The 24156-nt window shown below is 46.0% G+C and overlaps 3 non-coding genes and 1 pseudogene across 3 annotated transcripts, besides 4 other annotated features; 3 read left to right on the top strand and 1 right to left on the bottom strand.

The window, feature by feature from the left end:
- The first annotated feature begins 1236 nt into the window (after positions 1-1236).
- On the top strand, positions 1237-2261 carry LOC112268228 (translation initiation factor IF-2-like; annotated as a pseudogene).
- On the top strand, positions 1823-1896 carry TRN-GTT9-1 (tRNA-Asn (anticodon GTT) 9-1). Its single transcript has one exon. It is a non-coding gene; the product is annotated as a tRNA-Asn (tRNA).
- Positions 11058-11599: an enhancer, noted in NCBI's record as "NANOG-H3K27ac-H3K4me1 hESC enhancer chr1:145969331-145969872 (GRCh37/hg19 assembly coordinates)". NCBI's record gives its function as "activates a minimal SCP1, AML or CMV promoter by ChIP-STARR-seq in naive and primed H9 embryonic stem cells {active_cell/tissue: H9 hESC(naive and primed)}" and the evidence as "EXISTENCE:reporter gene assay evidence [ECO:0000049][PMID:30033119]".
- Positions 11058-11603: a biological region, named in NCBI's record as "NANOG-H3K27ac-H3K4me1 hESC enhancer GRCh37_chr1:145969331-145969872".
- Positions 11424-11603: a silencer, noted in NCBI's record as "silent region_1261". NCBI's record gives its function as "represses an Ori minimal core promoter by ATAC-STARR-seq in GM12878 lymphoblastoid cells {active_cell/tissue: GM12878}" and the evidence as "EXISTENCE:reporter gene assay evidence [ECO:0000049][PMID:35858748]".
- Positions 11497-11660, top strand: RNVU1-31 (RNA, variant U1 small nuclear 31). The gene has a single exon (NR_189289.1). It is a non-coding gene; the product is annotated as an RNA, variant U1 small nuclear 31 (small nuclear RNA).
- Positions 11764-11813: an enhancer, noted in NCBI's record as "active region_1609". NCBI's record gives its function as "activates an Ori minimal core promoter by ATAC-STARR-seq in GM12878 lymphoblastoid cells {active_cell/tissue: GM12878}" and the evidence as "EXISTENCE:reporter gene assay evidence [ECO:0000049][PMID:35858748]".
- Positions 17548-17619, bottom strand: TRQ-CTG3-1 (tRNA-Gln (anticodon CTG) 3-1). The gene has a single exon. It is a non-coding gene; the product is annotated as a tRNA-Gln (tRNA).
- Between the last annotated feature and the right edge of the window lie 6537 nt (positions 17620-24156).

The raw sequence follows: 24156 nt of genomic DNA, 5'->3' as shown, positions 1-24156 counted from the left end.
TAAAATCAAATGACATGGCAACACTAGCATAAAGGCCAGAAGGGAAGGTATAATGTCACTTGAGGGCAGACTGATAAAGATATATTCTAGAAACCTTAAAGCTATCACTGACATAACAAAAGAAAGAATTATAGCTAATAAGCCAAAAAAGGAAAGAAAATGGAATGATATAAAAAAACATGTAATCACTATGCTGGAGCAGCTGCTCTCCAGGCCTCTATCCTATAGAAATACACCAGTGGCCAATGAGAAGTGTACAAGAATGATGACTGCAGCATTGTTTGTAATCATAAAGTAATAGAACCAACGTAATTTCTTTCTTTCTTTCTTTCTTTCTTTCTTTTTTTTTTTTTTTTTTTTTTTTTTTTTGAGACAGAGTCTCCCTTTGTCGCCCAGGCTGGAGTGCAGTGGCGCGATCTCGGCTCACTGCAAGCTCTGCCTCCCAGGTTCACGCCATTCTCCTGCCTCAGCCTCCCGAGTAGCTCGGACTACGGGCGCCCGCCACTACGCCCGGCTAATTTTTTGTATTTTTCAGTAGAGACGGGGTTTCACTGTGTTAGCCAGGATAGTCTCGATCTCCTGACCTCGTGATCCGCCCGCCTCGGCCTCCCAGAGTGCTGGGATTACAGGCGTGAGCCACCGCGCTCGGCCAAACCAACGTAATTTCAAAGATACATGAAAAGGTTTTATTTATTAAACAAACACAACAATTTAACAAACAAACAATGGAAGCAAGTCCTTATGCCAAAAGGAACACAGAGGGTCATGATGATGCTACTCCTCCAAGGATGTCAGGGTTCCCAGACGCCTAGTTTTCGGTCTAATTTTTCTGGAAGATCTTATTCTTGGGGAGTTACAGATTCTCACGTTTGGGGCTCTTTCAGGTTCTATCTCCGTTTTCCCCTCAATTCCTCCCCATTCTGCTACAATAAAAAAACAATTCTCACCTCCGGAAGATCCCGCCTCTGCCTCCGCACGAGCCTTTCAGGTCTAGATGTCTGGTCCACCGCTCTCCGGCTTCTTTCCCCGCTTTTGCTTTTCCCTTCCCCCGCTCCCGCCCTCCAGCCCCACGACCCGACCACTGTCCAGCTGAGCCCCCGCGGCTCCACTGCGCAGAAGGTGCACTGGAAGCCCTGCCCGTTGCCCTCCCCGCGGGGTGCCGAGAAATCAATCTGAATAAACGTTTCGTAAAAAGAACTTCCCCCATGGAAAAATCTCTCATGATTTCCATTCTCAAGGCTCTTCAAAGGACTAAAAGATAAAGGCGACGACGGATTCATTCAACAAGTCCTAGTCGTGCGCCCTGGTGAGTGCCAGACCCTGCTCCCCGCGAGGGGATCCACGAGCGACCCTCACCACGATCCCTGCCCTGGTGGAGCCCCGGTGCCGAACGCAGGATCCGAAGAAGGCAGCGGAAGCTCCGCAGCGCCCCGAATGCGACTGAGCAGGGAGGGCACAGGCTCCCTCACTGGGTGAAGGCTGTGCAAAGAACGGGAAGAGCCATCCCGGGAGCCCACCAGGCGTTCAGCTTCCCTTGAGCCCCCTGGCTGCTCGAACCCGGGTCGCAGACCGGGGCGTTTCCAGGGGCTTCTGAAGCAGGCGAGGGGCAGGGCGGGCGAAGGCCATTCGGCTGTCCTTCTGGCTCCAGAATCTCCTAACGCGCAGGTGTCCAACGTGACCAGCGCGATTCACCGCTCTAATCGCTCCGGTTTTCCAAGGCCTTGCTCAGTCATCCTGCCGGACGAGCCCTGAAGCTGGAAGGCACAGGGGAAATTTGTTGAAGGCGCCCTTCCCATAGCGCACAGTAAAAGCAGTAGTTCTTGTCTCTGTGGCGCAATCGGTTAGCGCGTTCGGCTGTTAACTGAAAGGTTGGTGGTTCGAGCCCACCCGGGGACGCTTGCTCTAGCTTTTAAAGCGTTCGTGTATTATCAATCACTAGAGAATCTCCCCCGTTCGTGTATTATCGATCACTAGAGAATCTTCCCTTTTTCTTCCCATAGTCCTAAGTCCTATAGGTTCCAGGCCAGCCAGGGATGCTTACTGCAGGGAAGGTTTTATCTTCTCAGGATTCTAGGCACAGTTAACAGAGATCCCTGTCAAGGGCCATTCCCCACACTCCCCACACCCTCGCCTCACAGATCCGATTCAGACAGAGAATCTCCTGAAATGTCATGCTGTCTTGTGCCTGTGTACAAGAAACAGAGACCAAATGAGTCACTTCTGGTGCCGACAAAATCCTCATGCTGCCCCTTATAGGCTTGGATGGGTTATATGCCAACCTTAATTTTTTCATTGTTAATAGGAGGCCTAGAGAGATATCCTATCCCCAGGATGGGCCTGGATTTACTGGTTGCTCTATCAATAATATGGATAGAAAGTGGAATCATTCATCATCATAATGATCCTCTTCATCATTTTTGAAAACAGCATTTTTTTATCAGTCAGTTTGTGCATGATTTATTTAACCGTTTTCAAAATGTGTTTGAAATAAGGTTGGCTTCATGGTTTTAGGATTTCAGAGAATCCTGAAATCGTCATTCTTGTACACATATCTTTGGCCACTGATAGTTCTATAGTAGCGTAGAGAACTGGATGTGCCACTGCTATATTACAGGCTTTTTAATTTTAATTTTTAGTTTTTGTGACAGGGTCTCATTCTGTCTCTAAGGCTGGAGTGCAGTGGCCTGATTGCGTCTCACTGTAGCCTCAACTTCTCAGGCTCAAGCGATCCTCCCATCTCTCAGCCTTCCAAGTAGCTGAGACTGCAGGAGTGGGCCATCATGCCCTGCTAATTTTTATTTGTTTTGTAGAGAAGGGGTTTCACCATGTTGCACAGGCTGGTCTCCAAACTCCTGGGCTCAAGCAGCTCCGCGGCCTTGCAAAGTGCCAGGATTTACAGGCATGAGCAACTGCAATGGGTCTTATGTAATGCCTCTAACTTCAGCACTTTTAGCAAATTTATCTTCTGCGGGAGAGGTATCAAATCATATTCCAATTTATTTCTCAACTCTAATACTGTCCCTTTCTTCATTTACTTGCTGGCACAACAAACTTTCTCCCCCTTCCCCTGCTTTTTTTAGACTAGGTCTCACTCTGTCACCCAGGATGGAAGGCAGTGGCGTGATCTCAGCTCACTGCAGCCTCCACCCCCTGGGCTCTAGTTATCCTCCCACCTCAGCCTCCAGAGTAGCTGGATCTGCAGACATGCACCACCGCATTCAGCTATTTTTTTTTTTTTTTTTTGTAGAGATAGGGCCTTGCTATGTTGCCCAGGTTGGTCTCCAACTCCTGGGCTCAAGAGATCTATGTGCCTCAGCCTCCCACAGTGCTGGGATTTCAGGCGTGAGCCACTGTGCTAGCCATGAGCCCATGATATTCTAATAAGGGGACAGGTGCCTTCCTGGCTTAACTAAGGGGATGATACAACAGAAGGACATGGTGGACATGACACATAGATATTCTGCTGCATAGGATGGACAGCTAAACTTCTAAGACATTTTATTTTATTTTATTTTTTGAGACAAGGTCTTTCTCTGTTGCCCAGGCTGCAGTGCAGTGGCACAATCATAGTTCACTGTAGCCTGAACCTCCTGGGCTCCAGTGATCCTCCCACCTTAGCCTTCCAAGTAGCTGGGACTGCAGGTATGCACCATCATACTTGGCTATTAAGAAAAATAATAATTCTGTAGAGATGTGGTCTCACTAAATTGCCCAGGCTGGTCTCCAACTGCTGAGCTCAAGTGATCCTCCTGCTTCAGCCTCCCAAAGAGCTGTGCTGAGATTACAGGCATGAGCCACCATGGTTGGCCCTGTTTCTTTTTAAAATTTAATTAATTTATTTTGAGTCAATATTTTATTTTCTCTGGAAAGATAAAGGGAACAAGTTTTTTCCAGAAACACACATATGGTATGGGCCCAGTGATACCCTGATCCACCCCTTAGGCTTCAATTACCCATTTTAAAGTAGTTCATAAGCTGACTCGTTGGAATTCAGACAAAATGATAGCATGGGGAAAGCAGTGTATTGAAAATCATCGCCTACCATTGTGCAAAAGGTTTATTCTTGCTGTACTTTCTGTTCTGTCCCAAACATAATCCTGGAAAACCCCTTCATGTGTCACAGGGACATTGCATCTTTAGGACCTTTTGAGACATGGCAGTTAGACTTTATCCAGCTGTCTCCATCTCAGGGTCACAGATACTTTCTGGTGCTAATTTATATGTGCTGTCGCTGGAGTGAAACATTTCTGTGCCAATGAGCCACAGCCCAAGCAGCTGGTAGACTGTGATTAGAGAAAATCATTCCTCATGGGGAGTGCCATCTGATCTCCATAGCAACTGAGGAACACACCTTATCAGTCAGATAGTTGGATCCATTTGTAACGTTTGACCTATGTCCCAACATTTCCATTGTGCCTATCACCCCTAATCCTCTGGACTAGTGCAACTTAATAATGATAAGATAAAAACTCAATTGGCAAAGCTAACAGAAGTTTTTAACCTTCTCTGGCCAAAGATCCCCCACTGTTTCTGGAAAACTTTCACTCCCTCCCTTTGAAATTAGAACAGGAAGACCCATGCAGTGGTTAGATGAAGGGGCTTATGAACCTGCACTGCACTTCTTAAAGGTAACATTCTCCATTATTTCTAAGGTCTCACAAAACTTCTTATGAAGAGCTCCAAATTAATAAAGGATGCCTTTCATAATGAGCTGATGGGAGATGAAAATATCAAAAACTATGCCTATAAACTGGAGATGTCGCTTACTGGAAACAACATCAAATAAAATACTCCCTCCAAGTCCACTGGAGGGCACCACGTAGGTATTATTAATATTAATTTATTTTTTTGAGATGGGGTCTCACTCTGTTGCCCAGGCCGGAATGCAGTGGCGTAATTATGACTCAATGTAGCCTTTATCTCCTGGGGTCAAGCCATCTTCCTGCCTCAGTCTCCCAAATAGCTGGGACCAGAGGTGTGGGCCACTGCACCTGGCTCACATCAGGTATTATTGCCTCATCTCTGTGGCAGTAAATATAAGGGCATTGACACACAGATTCATGTTTCTCATATCTAAAAGGCAACCCTACCAGAGTGGACATCTGTCAGTGGAGGTTTTCACTTAAAGGTGACCTGCCATCTTCCTGACGAAGATGGCAAGTAGCTGACATCTGTTGTAGCCCACTTCCACCCAAGATACTGGCCTGTATAACCAGCTGTTCACAATTCCAGTGCTCACTGCACCTGGAAGAGTTAGTCTCTTTTTCTCTTGACTGGAATACATACACCATCAGGGCTCCTTTAAGTTGTAGGGGTCGTATCCTATTGGTTTTGGTAAAATCACCCTATATGTATATTCTCTAAAGATATGACACACTAGTCCTATTGCACGTACATGTATATACATATACATACATACATAGCAAAATGCCTATGATCAGATTTCTGTTTTACTGTCCTTAATTAATTTGATTACATCAGGGAGGGATAATTCTCTGATCAGAATCTCACAAACCATTGCCACTGTGGGAAATGTGACAAGGTGCTGGGTTTGCCACCTTAAACCACCAACCACTTTTGACCATAATGACCCATTGGTACATCCTGTGCCAAATTTCACCTGTATTCCTCCTGATTGAACTCACGATGCAACTCGGGGTTACATCAAGCAAAACCTGTTTATCGAACCTGTCTGACTCATCCTAACCTTCCTGCCGTACGTCTCAGTTTAACCCATCATAATTGTACTGTCAAAATAACTGCCTGTAATCCCAGCACTTTGGGATATCGAGGCAGGAGGATCACTTGAGCCCTGGAGTTTGAGACTATCTTCCTGGGCAAAATGGTGAAACAATTTCTACAAAATATACAAAAATATACAGTTGGGTGCATGGTGGCACCCAACTGTAGTCCCAGCTACTCAGGAGTATGAGTTGAGAGGATGACTTGAGCCCAGGAGTTCGAGCCTGCAGTGAATCCAGATGACACCACTGCACTCCAGACTGGGCAAAAGAGTGAGACCCTGTCTCAGAAAGTAAATAAATAAGCTGGGCGTGGTGGTGTGTGCCTAACTCCAGCACTTGGGAAGCTGAGGTAGGATGATTCATTGAGCCCTGAAGGTCAAGAGGTCAAGACTGTACTGGGCTGTCATGTTGCCACAGCATTCCAGCCTGGGCAACAGTGAGACCCCGGTTGCAAAAAAAACCAAAGATCAGAAAGAAAACCAACAAAAAATTGTTGTCTCACTCTGAAATGACAGTGGTAAACACCATGATGCTATTGGAAAGTTAAGAGAAAAACACTCCCTCCTGCTATCAGGATCCAACCTGCCCTCTTGCTCTAACATGTCTGACCCATGCATGGTTTAAATGCCGAAAGCTGATGTACCCAAATTATACTACACTTACCTGTTGTGCACCAGCATTTATTTGGTCTGTGGAGGAGATCACCATCCATGGCCCTTAAATGTCTAAAGACATGGAATGATGAAGTGCAATGTCTTTTAGGATATTTGGTCATGCCTATATATATATATATAGCTCTGAAGAAACCCAACATTGGATGAGTGGGGAGGCCGAGGCGGGTGGATCACCTGAGGTCAGGGGTGCAAGACCAGCCTGGCCAACACTGTGAAACCCCGTCTCTACTAAAAATACAAAAATTAGCTGGGTATGGTGGTGTTCACATGTATTCCCAGCTACTCAGGAGGCTGAGGTAGGAGAATCACTTGAACCTGCGAGGCAGAGGTTGCAGTGAGCCAAGATCATGCCACTGCACTTCAGCCTAGGAGACAGAGCGAGACTCCATCTCAAAAAAAAAAAAAAAGAATTGGATGAGCGTCCTCAAACTTTTCACTAGGCATGCCCACCACTCTATTTTATTAATAGATGGAGATCCTATTGGGAGAAAACTTGCTAATTACCTGCCTGACCATTAAGAAAGTAGCTCCATACATTTTTGGGGGAGCACGCTTTTGCTTTGATGGGATGTTGTTTCCCGTGGTTCGAAATCCTTCTTTAACCTTAGGTAACATTGCTGATAAAAACCGGGCATGGGAGCTCTGGCCTATAATCCCAGTGACTCAGAGGCTGAGGTGGAAGGATCACTTAAACCCAGGAGTTCCAGGCTGCAGTGACCTATGATGGCGACAGTGCACTCCAGCCTGGGCGACAGAGCCACTCCTTCTCTCTGAAAGAAAAATAAAGAGTCCAGGCTTGGGGGCCTATGCTTGTAATTCCAGCACTTTGAGAGGCTCAGCTGGGAGGATTGCTTGAGCTCAGGAATTTGTGACCATTCTGAGCAAGATAGCGAGACCCTGTCTTTCAACAAACAAACAAAACAATCAAACAAACAAAAACAAAATTAGCCAGGCATAGTGGTGCATGTCTGTAGTCCCAGCTACTCGGGAGGCTGAGGTGGGAGGATTGCTTGAGCGAGGGAGGTTGAGGCTGCAGTGAGCTGAGACTGCACCACTGCACTCTAGCCTGGGCAACACAGCAAGACTGTGTCTTAAAAAAAAAAAAAAGAAGAAAGACAAAAGAAAGAAAGAAAGAAAGAAAGAAATATTGCTGATGAAACTGTAGCCTCTTTCACAGCTCAACAAAAAGCTATTTATTCACTGGCTAAGATTGTACTAGATAATTGCATTACTTTAGATGATATATATTTTCAAAGACAATATTATTCTTATTTAAAAATGGTTAGAACCTGGGCACGGTGGCTCATGCCTGTAATCCCAGCACTTTGGGAGGCCGAGGCAGGTGGGTCACCTGAGTTCAGGAGTTCGAGATCAGCCTGGCCAACATGGTGAATCCCCATCTCTACTAAAAATACAAAAATTAGCTGCACACAGTGGCGTGTGCCTGTAGTCCCAGCAACTTGGGAGGCTGTGGCAGGAGAATCACTTGAACCCAGGAGGCAGAGGTTGCAGAGAGCCGAGATTGTGCCACTGCACTCCAGCCTGGGAGACAGAGAGTCTGTCTCAAAAAACAAAACAAAACAAAAACAATGGGTAGATACAGCAGCACTTACAAGAGTTCATAAAAGGAATTGTACATTGTCAAGTGATAGTGTGGAGAGAGCAGCCCCCTGCCCACCTGGTTGTGATCTCTGCATAACGCTTGCCCACAACCACCTTCTCCACTTAGTACAACGCAGCCCAGAACACCAAGGGGAGAGCCCCAGCAACAGCAGCCTCCGCAGCCCGCTTTAGATGATAGATTTAGCTGAGCAGGGAGGTGGATGTGTGGTGTTTACAACCTCTTGTTGCATATACAAAAATAAATACTCCCATGACATAGAACCTCATCTAGAAAAAATTAGAAGTCATTTGGCTACAAGAAATCATGAAAGAAGAACTGGGATGTCATGTTTTCCCTGATGTTTTTTCGTTGGCTCCCTAATGGAATAGGTTCCCTTACTGTTCTGGCATACGGATTCTCTTTGTGATTCTCATTCTTGTGTGAATTATATCTGTGCTATTCAAATTATTAATGTTATATATTTCCTGTTTTACTTCTGAGAAAACTGATTTTATGGTATCTGAAGACGAGAGATGATTAAACAAGTGACAGCTGTAGATTTAACTGAAGTCTCTCTCTCTTCTTTTCTTTTCTTCTTTTTTTTTTTCTACTCTGTGACGTACTTTCAATTGGGCTTTGGGGCGCTCTTAAAAATTCCTCAGTGAGGCAGCTCCTTTCCTCCCCTGCCCTCACCGTGGGAAAGACTATCCGGGAATGAGTGTTCCTGGCAAAGAGGGACACCTTGGCTGAGCTTTTGATCATCAATGCTTTAAAGAAGAAAGATTTTTAAAAGAATTTTTATCTGAGGAATGTGAGCCACTTCACATGATCAGAGAGACATTAAATCAAGACAGCAACCACTTTCTGCTTCCTTCCTTTTGAGCTATGTATTCATCTGTTGAAACTGCTTGCTATCACCCCAGGTAGCTGTAAATTAATCTAATAATGCCACACCAAACACTGTATCCCACACCCTATAACAAGGGATAGCCAAGCTCTCATCAATGCTATTTCTGAAAACCAATGAGAATTCCTGACAGGCACCTTTCTGTCAGCCCATTGTGCATCCCCCCTTTTGACCTTTAAAAACCTGCTTGTGACAAAGGCCAAAGGGAGCTCAGATCCAAGGTTCTTTTGGTGTGAGTCTTCCAGGCAGCTGTCTTCATGTTGGCTCAAGTAAACTCTAGATTCTATTTTGTGCTTCAGCCTCTTTCTTTTAGGTCAACATGTTCAGCAACAGTAGAATAAATAAATAAATTGGCCTATATTCATACAAAGGAATACACACAGAAACAAATAACCACATGAATAACATGAAAAATTCATAGATGTAAGACTGAGTGAAAGAAGTCAAACCTATGCCTCTGCTCCTGAGACCGACTTTGCAAAAATTATAACTGGGAGAATTATCACAGCGAAAGAGATCTGACCTAACTGCTTCTGTCTTGCTTCCAGCATCCAAGCTGTCCTTGTTCATTCCTGGGCACAGGCCAAAATAACTTTGAGAGGAACTTAGTTTATGGTTTAGCTGTGAAACAAAGATGATAACAGCCCTTTCCCAAAACAAATCCCCTTCCTGCCTGGGGAGTAGACTGCCTTTTCAGGACTAACAAATTAGCCACAAGATTAGAAATGATGGTTTAGGATCATGCAGCCTCCAACTTATGAGATTCTAAACCTCCCTGAATTGTGCCTGGGGATCACATCACTATTGTAAAACCTAAGACCAGTGCGTGAGGTATTTTGTAGCCCTGCACTTGATGCATCAGCTGGCACCACCCAGATGGATAAACCAGCTCATCTGATCTTGTGGCCCCCACCCAGGAACTGACCCAGCTCAAGAGGATGCTTTAGCTCCCTTTGAGTTCATCTCCGACCTGACCAATCAGAACTCCCAACTCACTGGCCCCCAGCCACCAAATTATCCTTAAAAATTCGGGTCCCAGAATACTCAGGAAGACTGATTTGGGTAATAATAAAACTGGTCTCTCACACAGCTGGCTCTGGGTAAATAACTTTCTTTATTGCAATTCCCCTGTCTTGATAAATTGGTTCTGTCTAGGCAGCAGGCAACATGAACCCATTGGGCAGTTATATTCCCCCAAAACCCACTATACACTTTATGATTCAGTTTATATGAAAGCAAAGGACAGGAAAAACTTGCCTGATAGATTTGGAGTCTGTGGAGTATTGTCAGAGTTTGGTGTTGTATTCTACAGATTAAAAGTAATCTGTTAAGCACCTCAAATAAAGTTTCCCCCAAATATATATATATTTTTTCCAAATTTGGACCACTTTGTTTCTGTCTTTGCAGAACATAAAGTGCTAACATGAGGTAAGTGCTAAGGTCTGGAGAAGGCCGTGGAAGAGATGACAAACTCCAGCATCATGCCTGAGTGTCCAGTGTGCTCTGCTGGGGCAGCATATTTGTACATTGCTGTATTTGAAAGAACCCTACAAGATTCCTGAAATTGGACCACCGTCCTTATAACACTACTAGTGGTAAAACAAGTAAGGATGGCTGGTTTGCAGTCATCTGAGCAGCCTCTCTAGTTTCATAGATATGGTTTCTCTGATATCGAACGGCTTCCAATTTCAAGTAGAATGCTACATCACAAGGATAATGATGTGAAGTGAACCAGTTTCTTGTGTAATCCTCCATGTTTTAGTCTGCGCATTACAAGCCATTATTTGAAGAAGGGTGGACAGGCTCCAGATTTCTGCCAAAGAGGTCCTCGGCAACACAGGCTAAGAACTGGCTTCTGGGCAGTCGTGATGGCTCACGCCTGTAATCTCAGCACTTTGGGAGGCCGAGGTCGGCGGATTACCTGAGGTCAGGAGTTCGAGATCAGCCTGGCCAACATGGTGAAACCCCGTCTCTACTAAAAACACAAAAATTAGCCGGGCTTGGTGGCGTGTGCCTGTAATCCCAGCTATGTGGAAGCCTGAGGCAGGAGAATCGCTTCAACCCGAGAGGCGGAGGTTGCAGGGAGCCGAGATCATGCGACTGCACTCCAGCCTGGGCGACAGAGCGAGACGGCGCAAAACAAAAAACAAACAAAAAACTACAACAGAAACACCCGCTTCTTTGGGGAAGACCATGGGCGGGGAAGAGAGGGAAAGGAGGCAGAGGCAGACATCACTGCCCCCGCAGGCTCTGGCACCATGTTGGTCGGCTGAGTGGCGGAGGGTGGGGCAGAAAAGCAGACCGGGACGAGGAAGGCGCTGTCGGTGACATCACGGATAGGGCGACTTCTATGTAGATGAGGCAGCGCAGGGGCTGCTGCTTCGCCACTGGCTGTTTCACCACGAAGGAGCTCCCGTGCCGTGGGAGCGGGTTCAGGACCGCTGGTCGGACCTGAGGGTCCCAGCTGTGTGTCAGGGCTAGGAAGGCTCGGGGGTGCGCGGGGCAAGTGACCATGTGTGTAAAGGGTGAGGTATATGGGGCTGTGACAGGGCAGAAGTGTGTGAAGTCATACTTACCTGGCAGGGGAGATACCATGATCACGAAGGTGGTTTTCCCTGGGCGAGGCTTATCCATTGCACTCCGGATGTGCTGACCCCTGCGATTTCCCCAAATGTGGGAAACTTGACTGCATAATTTGTGGTAGTGGGGGACTGCGTTCGCGCTTTCCCCTGAATTTTTGTAATGAAAAAATAGACGGCAAGGGTTATTCTTAAAACTGCAGTTTTGTAGCTTGGGTGGCATGTTAAGTGTTCTCCTTACAGTCGCAACGATGGGAAACAGAAAGTAACGTGTTATCCTCTCCGCCGCCGTGAGCTCTTTTAACACTAGCTAAGTGGCCGCAGGGCTCTTCTCTTTCCTTTCCACTTGGGGCTGCTTTTTGCAGATCGCTTCATAGTCTCCAGTCTTTTGGGTTCTCATGCTCTGTGAAAACCTTCGTGTTTTTTCATAGCCCCCAGAGTCACCCTTCACACAGCCTCTGCTTCTAACCGCAGCCTCCGCAGGAGTTTGTAGGATGTCTGTGCTAGCGGGGAATGTGTTCTCACCTCCTAGAGCCAGGGAAGAAACTACGCAGTCGGGTGCTGTTCTTTGGGATGAAAGCAGGGTCCCCGTTCGGTTGTTAACATAACACGCTTGCTTTCTGTAGGGGAAGGGAGGTCTCTCCCGGCGCCCAGGTGCCCTTGCTCATGTTCACCGAGGCCTGCAGGTCAGAACCGCAGTCTCACCTGTCGCCAGAATGTGCTGCGATCTACCCCAACTACCCGAACTACCCAGCAATAAAATAGGACACATTACGGAAACATGAAATAGCGTGGATCATCTCAAAAACATTATGCCGAGTGATGAAAAGAGTGCACCCTGTGTGGCGGCATCAAGGTGAATTTCTACAACAGTTAAAACTAACCTGTATAGTGACAGAAACTACATCATTGACTGCTGGCCTCAGGGGGAGGGCGGAACTGACTGCAAAGGGCACAAGAGGACCTTTTAGAGTAATAGACACGTCATCAAACTTGAAATGGATGCATTGTACCAAAGTCAACTCACACCTTAATCAACCTGATTGTAAAAAGGAATAAGAAAACCACTCCAAATCTTAATGTCTTCTACTTAATTTAGTGTACGTTTATCCTTAGAAGATTCCTTTAGAAAAATATCTCTCTAACTGTAATCGGGAGTTGAGGAATTCCTTCGTTTCTGTTTCTGTCTCTTTGTCTGCAGTTAAGTTCATGCACTATTAAATGGAATGTTTGTAAAATAAAAATAGAGTCTCAGCTAAATTTTATAAAGGCATACATATATGCGTCTTTATTATTTTATTATTTTTTCAGGTATATATATCCTTCTTTATTATTTTTTCTTCCTTTTTCTTTTAGGGACAGTCTAGCTAAAATATACATTCTTCTCCCTGTAGATGTACCACAAGACTGTAACTCCAGGGTTGCCCAAATGTTATGAGAAGTTATTTTTGAACGTAAGGTTTTCAAAAATTTTACATATGTTTACATCTTCTCTACTGTTAGTATGGTCTATGCTTAGCATGTGTAGTTTAACAATGATTTGGAAGAAAAATATGTAGGTATGTTAACAGTAGTTAATTCCAGGAGGTGGGAATATGGATGACTGGTTATCTTCCGCTTTATGAATTTTTTATATTTTTAAATGGAAAATTCTCAATGACCTGGAAGTTAAAGAACAGATTAGATATGGAAGGGGTGTAGGGTAGGTGAGAGGAAAATGTAAAGGGAAGGACAAACCCAGTTCTGGCAGGACCATGTTTAAGTTGAAGGTTTCTGGGGAGAAGTTGTTGGGATAAGAAGGATACGAAGGAGGCAGGAGAATCATGAAAATATTTAGGACAGTGTATTTATTGCCTGTCTTATCATTCCTCCTCCTTTTGTGTTTCTTCCAAAGAAATACACAGACTTATATTTCTTTTCAAGCATGCTTACCATTTGTGTTTCTCTTTTATTAATGTAACTGCCTGGTAGGTTTATCTTGCCCATTGCCCAGGTAAGCCAATGGAGCTGAGAACAGCAGGCTTTCTAAAATAGAGAAAGAATTTAATAAATGCAGAAGCAGCTGAGGGACCACGACAGGGGTTTATTATTACTCAAATCTGCCTCCCCCAAAATTCAAAGACTAGGGTTTTTTTTTTCTTTTTTCTTTTTCTTTTTTTTTTGGATAGTTTGGCAGGCAAGGGGCTAGGGAATGTGCAAAGCTGATTGGTTGGGTTGGGGATGAAATCACAGTGTCAGAGCTTGTTCACTGCACTGAGTCAGTCCCTGAGTGGGGGCCACAGGACCAGATGAGCCAGTTTACCGGTCTGGGTGTGCCAGCTAGTCCATCATAAGGCAGGGTCTGAAAAATACCTTGAACACCAATCTTAGGTTTGACACCAATAATCTTATATACAGGCACAGTTGGGGAGCTTAGGAATCATGTGGCTTCTGGCTGCATGGCTCCTGAGCAATAATTTCCAATCTCGCACCTAATTTGTTAGCTTTGCTAAGGAGGTCTGATCCCCAAGATAGGAAGGAGTTTGTCTCAGGAAGACATCTTTGTTTCAGACTTAGACTTGGAACTAAACTTCTCTCATAGTTAGCCTGGCCTATGCCCAGGAGTGGACAAAGGCAGCTCAGAGGTTAGAAGTAAGATGCAGTCAGTTAGGTCAGATTTCTTTCACAGTCATAGTTTTCCTATGTCAGGTTTTTCTCACTGTCATAATTTTTGCAACGGTGGTTTTGTTAGGAGCAGTATAAATGCAGTGGTTCTGAGAATGTCTTCTGGAGACAGGCTGCCTTCACTTCAAATTCCTGCTTTCAAATCCTCCTTTGCTGGCTGAGTGACCCTGGACAGGTCACTTAACGTCTTTGTGCATCTCACATGGAAGATGAAGGTGATAGTGTGACCTCGGCCTGAGGTAAGGACTGAATGAGTAAACACATGCACATAATCAACTGTGCCTGACATGTGGCACTTTGTGTTGCAGACACAGCTGATGATGTGCATGTGTTACTCATGTGCATGTTAGCTCTTGTATTTTGCCTGCAACACTGCACAAAGAGCAGATGTGACGAAAACCAGTTGTATTGAAGTTACAGCAGTGATACTTTCCAGTGGCCGTGCACCCTCCCAGGGAGACTGCAGCAATCTTCTCACCAGCAGTAACCTCCTGGGCTGGGAGATCCCAGGAAGGCCCCTCAATCTCCAGCAGGTTTGACCCTCAAGGAGCTTCGGGGAATGAACTAGAGAAGTATTTCTATCTGGGAGGAACTGGGAGTTTATTAGCTCATGTGTTCAGCTCATCCAAAGGGGAATAATGATTCAATTTCTTGCTTCAAATCTGCCCCAGTAAAATTCTTATAGTTTTGCCCAGGTGCAGTGGCTCATGCCTGTAATCCCAGCACTTTGGGAGGCCGAGGCGGGCGGATCACCTGAGGTCAGGAGTTCGAGACCAGCCCGGCCAACAAGGTGAAACCCCATCTCTACTAAAAATACAAAAAGTAGCCGGACGTGGTGGCAGGCACCTGTAATCCCAGCTACTTGGGAGGCTGAGGCCGGAAAATGGCTTGAACCCGGGAGGCGGAGGTTGCAGTGAGCTGATATCGTGCCATTGCACTCCAGCCTGGACAACAGAGTGAGACCCTGTCAAAAAAAAAAAAAAACATATAGCTTTACAGTGGAAGACATTTGTACATGTCGGGGAGGAAATATGACTTTTTCTCACCCAGCCTAGGTTCGCTGCTGAGACCCTCACAGCAAAACACAGACTAACAAGAGAAGAGCATACAGATTTATTTAATGTAAATTTTACATGACAGGAACGCCTTCCAAAGGAAATGAAGGCCCATGGAAACAGCTAAACCTCAGTTTTTGTTTTTGTTTTTTTAACAGTAGGTTTATTCAAGAATGAATAGTCATGGAGAAGTATGATAAGTCAATAAAAGTATGATCTAACAGTAACAAAGTGGGGGAAAGGTAGCCAGGCCTCTGCGTTCAGGCTCTTCTCTGTGTCCCTGTGTCTTCAGAATCAAGGATGCACCTTTCCTCTGGGTACAGAGAGGGCACCTCTCACATAAGAGTCTTATACTGGACTTCAGGGAGGAAGGGCAGGGGGAGGGTGACAGTGACCTTCCTGCTTCTGTGGTTTACTCATATTCCTTTAGCATAAAATATTCAATACCCCAAGATGTTATACTTTGGAGTAGCATGTCCTGAATCCCATCATGCACATGCAGCAAAACCCAGAATCTTTGAAGAGTGATGACTACAAAATATTTAAATTCAAAATACAAATGATGGCCAAGTGGGGTGGCTCATGCCTGTAATCCCAGCAGGGAGGTGTAGGGAGGCCCAGGCAGGCGGATCACTTGAGTTCTGGAGTTCGAGAGCTGCCTGGCCAATATGGCGAAACCCCATCTCTACTAAAAATACAAAAATGAGCCCAGCACGTGGTGCACACCTGTTGTCCCAGCTACTTTCAGGGGGTGGGGAACGGGCGGGCTGGCGATCAACTGAAACAATATCATATTTAAGAATGATTCTTTTTTCCTATAGGGCTAGTCAAGTGAAGCAGTGGAAGTGGAGAAGGAACAAAGAAACCTGTAACTGGTTGTGATCAAATATTTGTGAACAGGAATGAATTTTTATGCACTATACACTGTTATCAAAGTTACATATGCTGCAAAGCTGGTGGTGAACAGCAGTGCCCTGGTCCCTTCCTACACTTATCTGTAGGGATAACAATTTTTAATGCACGCAACCCACCTCTACATAAATATTGTTACTCTTTGACTGTCCAATTTTCCATCCCAGGTCCTGCAGTTCTGCCTGCAAGGGGAAACGGAGTTTGTGTTTCCTTACCTGCCAGTCCACTCCAAGGAGCCAAGAAGGCGTCAACCCCCCTCAACCCCGGCTCGTCCTCCAAACTGAGCCCCTCAAAGACTGCGGTATTTTTCAGTCCTTTGTAACCGCTCTCAGCCCCAAAATATGAAAATGAGAGCGATGGTCCTGAGCGCCTGGAGTGACATCTTAGTTCGCTCCCAAGACCCATCAGGAACCTCATCCCAAGTGCTCTGAAGAGCAGGAGAAAACATTTTTAACTAAGGCGTCTTCTCCTTGGGGCAGGGTCCTGACGGGAGAAGGGGGAGCCCCATCTTCAGAGACTCGCCCCTCAGAGCTGCTCAGGTTCCTCTTCCCCGTGGCCCTGAGGGAGCTCGGCCGGGGCGACCCAGGATCAGAACCCGCGCTCCCAGCCCGCGCGCTTGAAGACGCCGCCGCGCGGAACTCTCTTTCTGGCTGAGATCTTGGGACGAAAGAATGAGATTTCCCGGAGTCAGGTTCCAAAGCTTAGTGAAACAGCGACTTTTAGGGCCCGCAATAGAGACGCAGGAGCTAGAAATTCGGCATAAAAATCTGAATATGAAGAACAGAGCAAATTAACATTCGGAATAGGATGGGCCATCTGAATAAAGCAGTGCTACTGCCAAGTTAGGTCTGGAACCATCGATCCTAAACTGAGACACACTCTCCAATGACTGAGCTAACCCCATCAGAATTTCTCACGCCACCGTTTACTTACCAAAAAGACAATGGGTGCCATTAGGAGATTCCCGAGTGAAAGGAATCTCGGGGTGTAGGATAGAGGGGCAGCAGCCTTTTTAGTGGAGGAGACCTGTCAGCCCGAGGCCCAGGGTCGCTCTGAGAGGGGGTGGGGACTTCCTGGGTCGCTGGGTCCCTGGCGGGGGTGTCCGGGCCTCCGATTGCTGGGTGCCAGGAGGCTCGCCCAGGAAGGGGACCCTGCAGGCTCGCTGATCCCGACTGGATGACTCGGCAATTTCCCTGTGGTCCGGGCCACTGCGAGAACCCGGTTTCTGGGACCCCGAACACCGAAGAGGGAGACGAAGAGGGGACGAGGAGCGCGGGGTACATCGCGAGGCTCAGACAGCGGGAGCAGAAGGGACACGGAGGCCCACAGCGCAGAGTTTCTGAACGTCAGCGGAATCCCCATTCCATTTAGGGAGTAAAACACAACATTGCCGTCCTAATTAAACAGAAAGGTTCCACCGAGACTCGAACTCGGATCGCTGGATTCAGAGTCCAGAGTGCTCACCATTACACCATGGAACCTCATCGTGCAAGTTTGCCGGAAGCGTCTGAATTCCCAATAAGTAGCAATAGTTCCCACTCAACCATGTCAAGGCATTTCTATTATCCCACAAGCAACACTCGAGGAAGGTGGACCTGCAGGAAGGAGCCATCCTTCTTACTTTCTCTCTGCCCTCTCCTTTGATCGACTTCCATCATTTCATTTGCACCTCGGAAAATGAGGCAAAATCCACTGTGAGTTTAGGGCCAGAGAAGAGCCCTTGAAGCCTCGGTCATAGAGTTTCCTGTGCCACAGTGAAATTTCTTTCTTCCTTTCTTTCTCTCTCTCTTTCTTTGTCTCTCTTGTTTCTTTCTTTTTCTTTCTTTCTTTCTTGTCTTTCTTTCCTTCTTTTTTCTTTCTCTTTCTTTCCTTTCTTTCTTTCCCTTTCTCTTTCTTTCTTTCATTTTCTTCCTCCCTCCCTCCCTCCTTCCCTTCTTCCCTCCTTCCTTCTTTCCTTCCTTCCTTCCTCTCTCTCCCTCCCTTCCTCCCTCCCTTCCTCCCTCACTTTCTTTCTTTCTTTCTTTTCTTTCTTTCTTTCTTTCTTTCTTTCTCTCTCTTTCTTTCATTGAGACAGAGTCTCCTTCTGTTGCTCAGGCTGGAGTGCAGTGCAGTGGCAGTGGGCGATCTCCCCTCACTGCAACCTCTGTCTGCTGGGTTCAAGTGATTGTAATCCGCAGTAGCTGGGATTACAAGCGTGGGCCACCATGCCTGGTTAAATTTTGTATATTTAGTGGAGATGAGGTTTTGCCAGGTTGGCCAGGCTGGTCTTGAACTCTTGACTTTCAGTGATTTGCCCACCTTGGGCTCCCAAAGTGCTGGGATTACAGGCGTGAGCCACTGCGCCCAGACCGGAGATGAAATTTCTGCAAAATTTCTGTTATTTTCTTTATGCTTTCCCTGTTTTCTGTTTGCCCAAGGAGGCCAGATGATTATCAAAACAGGACGTGGGACTTCCTGGGCACCTTGCCCCCTTCCTCCCTTAGTATATAACAGAAGACAGCAATCAAGTGAGATTGGGAAGCAGGGAATCCCTTATTTTTTTATTCATATTCTTCTATGTTTGTTTGTTTGGTTGGTTTTAAAAAAATTTTCTCACCAGAAATGGAGATATGTTGGATTTAAAATAAATGCGATCAGCCATATTTTATATTTCTATAAAACACTGAAACCAGGCCATACTCACCTGCTATGACTCAAAATCAACCATATACTGTCGAGGTCAGGAGGCAGGGCCCTGACATTTAAGCACAGTGTGTTTTCTCAGAATTGGCCAAGTTGATGCCATTCCAATTTCTCAATATCTCATGACCCATTAATTGCAGTGTTTAAAAGTGTACATGCATCGTTACTGAAAGCCCAGGAGTTCCGTCTAGGCCCTGCTGCTCAGCTCACAGAAAGCCAATCATTGAGACATTGAGTATTGCCGAGGAAGAAGGCTTTAATTGGGTGCTGCAGCTGAGGAGATGGGAGATCAGTCTCAAATCAATCTCCCTGATCAACTAAAACGAGGGGTTTATACAGCAGGGAAGAAACGTAACTGTGTGTGGGAAAAGAGGAACTAGGGAAGGGTGAGGAAGCACTCATGATGAGTGAAGGGACTGGCAAGTCATTGTCTGGATGCTGTGATCTGCTGAGTTTCAGGTCTATGATGCTTTTTGAGAGGCTGAGGGTCCTTTCCTGAGGAAGGAACTCAGATAAAACAAATGTAAGTTTCAAGCTTTAAGACCAGAAGGGTCCATTTTTAAGTCTATCCAAAAACACTGTATGTGGGACTATTGGGTCGATTTCAGTCCCCACTTTCTATTTGTCAGTTCCTCAATCATGGGGAATCTGGTCATGCATCTTTCTGGCTTTGTCATGAGGAGAAGGGGCATCCTGAGCAGCTCCACACCATGGGTGACCGCATGGCCACCCAGGAATCAAACATTCATCTAATACTGTAGTTTCTCCTGAAACACAATCTTCCTCTGTCCAGTTCCCCATTTCCACTAAAGACAAAACACAGCAGGACCAACCTACCTGCAAAAGAAGCTTCAGTCCCATATACTTGGCCTGATTACCCACACAAAGTGCAGCAAGAATCCTTGTCCATATAGGCTCTCCTAAATGGGCTTTGCTGGAACATTTCACAACACCATTTCAGGCAAAGCCCTGAGAAGATTACCAGTTCCTCCACCTGTGTCCTGTTATAAAAGAAAACAGAATCTTATTGAACTTATGCAAACAAACACATCATCATGAGTTAAGAATATTCAGTTTACAAATTCTGGAGAAATTCGGCAGAGAGAGAAAAATATGCCTCAAATTCTGTTTAGAAGACTATTCTACTCAATTGTTGCAGGCTATAAATAGCTCAAAATGACAAAAGTTCTCCAGGCTTTGAAGAATAAACAATGTTTTAAACAAACAAACAAAGACCATAAAAACTTACTTCAGTCCTCCATTAGTTCAGTCCATACAATCAGCTCCTGCTCTGCTTCATAGTGGGCTAGCAATCTTTATGAACATATCAGCCTTTCTATTAGTGCCCTGGGTGAAATTTTCTTTTTACTTCAATGGCACAATCTCCAAAGTTATCAGAAACCTGCATCCAAGAGTCCTTTTCGTGGACTTCCCCAAAGAAGCAAGGCCTGGACTGTAACTGATTATAAGTCACTTTTTGAGAAGAATCAAAGCAAAACAACAATTGTGGATAACAAAAGCCTTAAGACAGCCATGGTTATAGACACAGTTGACAAGGGAATTCTGTTGCTTCTGTGGCACACACAATTTAACATAATAATCATAATTATTACTGACAGCATAGCAGAACTCTAGGAATCTCATACTATCCTGGAACACACATTAACAACACATCTGTGTCAATAGAACCCAAAGGAAGTGAAACACCACCTCAGATTTGACAATGCTTCTTGCAGAATTCTACATAACAAATAAGCCTAAGAAGCCTAATATATCTCTCTTGGACTTCAAGAACCTAATATCCAAAAAGTTAATTTGAGGCCCAAAAGGCTCAATATGAAAATTTTACTCTTAGAAAGTTAGCCAAAGTTTTGAGAGACTTGATATCACAAAATAGAATCACAGGTCACCTTAAAATAGTCAATCATTTAGGCAAAAGGTAAACAAAAATATTTTATTTTATTAATATTAATAATTTTTATTTTTTAAAATAAAATTTAAAATAAATTTTTAAAAAATTTTTCAAAATAATTAATAATTTTTATTAATATTACACAAACATTTTGATCAAGAGAAAACCAAATTTTGCCTTTGTGTGATGTATTAAAATGTTAAAGCTAATTTTAATGAAACCTTATACACAAATTTAATTATAATCAGTTCAACCATAAGGTAAGAGTTTCAAAAACCTTTCATGACCTTTTATACTTTTCTATGAAAAAGCAGATGAATGCTCAAGAAAACCCTGTTATTCTGACACACGGGCCCAGTTGCTGGCCTTGCATCAGTGTGTTTCTGAGTGTAAAGTCTAATTTATAGAAAAATCTCTGAATTTGAGAGGCCAGGGTGGGTGGATCACTTGAACTTAGGAGTTTGAGTCTAGCCTGGGCAATATGGTGAAACATTGTGTCTACCAAAAAAAAAAAAAAAAAAAAAAAAAGAGAAAGAGAGGAAGGAAGGAAGGAAAAGAAAAGAAAAGAGAAGAGGGAAAGAAAAGAAAGTCTCTGAACTAAACTTATCTCTCAGACTCCAGCCTTAAAATTCTCATGTGCCCACCTCTTCTGTCCAGAGGAAGAGGGGGCATGAGGTGGAAAAGGGTGCATGTGGGATTGTTGGGCCTAGAGGGATGGAATGGTTTCAATTTCTGGTTCTGTGTCTCATGGAAGCAGTTCATTTTGATTGTCATCTTCCCCAGGGTCTGAAGACGAGGCATTCATTGGCATCAGTATTCAAGATTTAGCAGAAGTATGTGCCTTTTTCAGACCCAGGAGTCTAAGCCCTGTAAGCTAATAGCACAAGGATTAGTTCACAGGACATTTGTACTGCAGAAAGTTCTATTTCTCTCTCTCATGTCACTGTGATCTGCTGTCCAGTAGTTACTGCCTGCAGCACTTCAAACCATTGTATTAAAGTGGTTAGGATATTCCTTGCATGTAACTAGTTGCCAGCATTCTAATGACAGAACTGTGATCGAAAGCATCAAAAATGTGACAGAACCTATGCCAAACTTTTCAAAGTAAGACAATTAAATTTTCTCTCCATCATTTAACAAAATGCTAAATGCAAATATCACTTTTAGAAATTCAGTATGAGGATAAATAATCTCCTTTTATTTAAATACTATACAACAAAACAAGAACAAAGTGAGAGTAAACACACTGTCATTTCTTTTCAGCTATTTTATTTATTTATTTTGAGACAGAATCTCCCTCTGTCACCCAGGTTGGGGTACAGTGGCAGGATCTCAGCTCACTGCAGCCTCCACCTTCGAGTCCAAGGTTCAATGGATTCTCTTGCTCAGCCTCCCGAGTAGCTGGAATTACAGGTGGGCACCACCATGCCCAGCTGATTTTTGTGTTTTTAGTAAAGACAGGGTCTCACCATGTTGAACTCCTGGCCTTCAGTGATCTGCCCACCTCGGCCTCTCAAAGTGTGGAATTATAGGAATGAGCCACAACACCCAGCCTTCTTTTCAGCTATTTTAAAAGAGCATAATCACATATTTCCAAGATTCGTTTCTAGATACAGTACTGATTACTGATTAGGTCACTTCCACCATTAAAATCTTCAAACCAGTGCAACAATTGTACATGTTTTGTTTTCAAGTACACACATGAAGACCCAACAGTGATACAAGGCTTGGGATCAAAAATCACTAGAAATTCTCACAACCTGTTTGTATTACCACTTCTTCCAAGTGAATGTCACTTAATTTTAATAATGGTAAACACAACTTAAGGAGGTTGAGAGAAATCCAATCAATATAATATCTGTAAGGACAAGGCCGAGTCGGGTGAGGCGGCGGCGGCTGCGGCGGTGGGGCCGGGCGAGGTCTGCTGCGGTCCCGGCGGCTCCGTGGCTGCTCCGCTCTGAGCGTCTGGCGCGCCCCGCGCCCTCCCTGCCGGGGCCGCTGGGCCGGGGATGCACGCGGGGCCCGGGAGCCATGGTCCGCTTCGGGGACGAGCTGGGCGGCCGCTATGGGGGCCCCGGCGGCGGAGAGCGGGCCCGGGGCGGCGGGGCCGGCGGGGCGGGGGTCCCGGGTCCCGGGGGGCTGCAGCCCGGCCAGCGGGTCCTCTACAAGCAATCGATCGCGCAGCGCGCGCGGACCATGGCGCTGTACAACCCCATCCCGGTCAAGCAGAACTGCTTCACCGTCAACCGCTCGCTCTTCGTCTTCAGCGAGGACAACGTCGTCCGCAAATACGCGAAGCGCATCACCGAGTGGCCTCCATTCGAGTATATGATCCTGGCCACCATCATCGCCAACTGCATCGTGCTGGCCCTGGAGCAGCACCTCCCTGATGGGGACAAAACGCCCATGTCCGAGCGGCTGGACGACACGGAGCCCTATTTCATCGGGATCTTTTGCTTCGAGGCAGGGATCAAAATCATCGCTCTGGGCTTTGTCTTCCACAAGGGCTCTTACCTGCGGAACGGCTGGAAGGTCATGGACTTCGTGGTCGTCCTCACAGGGTAGGCAAGCTGAGGCCAGGAGGCCCAGCGTGTGCGGCCCGGGCGTGTGCTCTCTGAAGCTCAGTTGCGCCGTGGAGCTGGGGCAGCTGCAGTCCCTTCACTGGGGTCCCCTCACAGCCCTGCTGGAGATGAACGAATGTGAGACAGTCTGTTTGCCACCCTGTGTGCTATGGGGGTGCTTCTCCCAGAGGTGCCAGTGCTGTATTTCTCGCTGACGGAAGGATCACAGTGACCTGTCCCCAGGAGGCGCTGGCTTGCAGAGCGCACAGGCCAGGGGCCACCAGCTTCCATGGCTGGCCTGAGCCAGCATGGTGCCTGTTGGAGGTGGCTTTGCTGCCCAGGTGAGGGGCTTCCTAGCGAGGAGGAGGGCTGGACTTCTGGCCTCACCCAAGCCTGTGGTCTGGGAGGGGCACTTGGCGGTTTGAATTCTGTGCCTGCCTGAGACGCTCACCTGTGGTGTCCACCTCGCTCAGAGCCCTTGTGCTGCCTGGGATGAGGCTGTGTGTGTCGAGTGCTTTCACAGTTCCTGTGCCAGGAAGGTGCTTCGGCAGTTTCTCCTCAACCACTTACCCTAACAACAGCTTGTGATTGCCAAAGTAACCAGCACATCTAGAAGATGGACCCAAGGGGCCTGGATGGGAGCTCAGGTCCAGTGCTCTGCACCCCACCCTCCAGGGTGTTAACTCCCCAACCTGTGCAGTGGGCACTGTGAGGTCCCCTTTCCTGCTTCCCTGACTGGCAGGCGGAAGGCTGGGCTGGGCTGCTGTGGCTCTGGTGTGGAGAGTGGTGGCTGGGGAGTGAGTGCTTGGGGAGTTGCCCCCACAGAGCCTGTTAGCGCTTCAGTGTCAGAGGCCCTGTGCTGG

Source organism: Homo sapiens, chromosome 1 (genome assembly GCF_000001405.40).
Source record: "Homo sapiens chromosome 1, GRCh38.p14 Primary Assembly".
Taxonomy (NCBI): Eukaryota; Metazoa; Chordata; class Mammalia; order Primates; family Hominidae; genus Homo; species Homo sapiens.
This window is presented reverse-complemented; position numbering and strand designations above follow the sequence as displayed.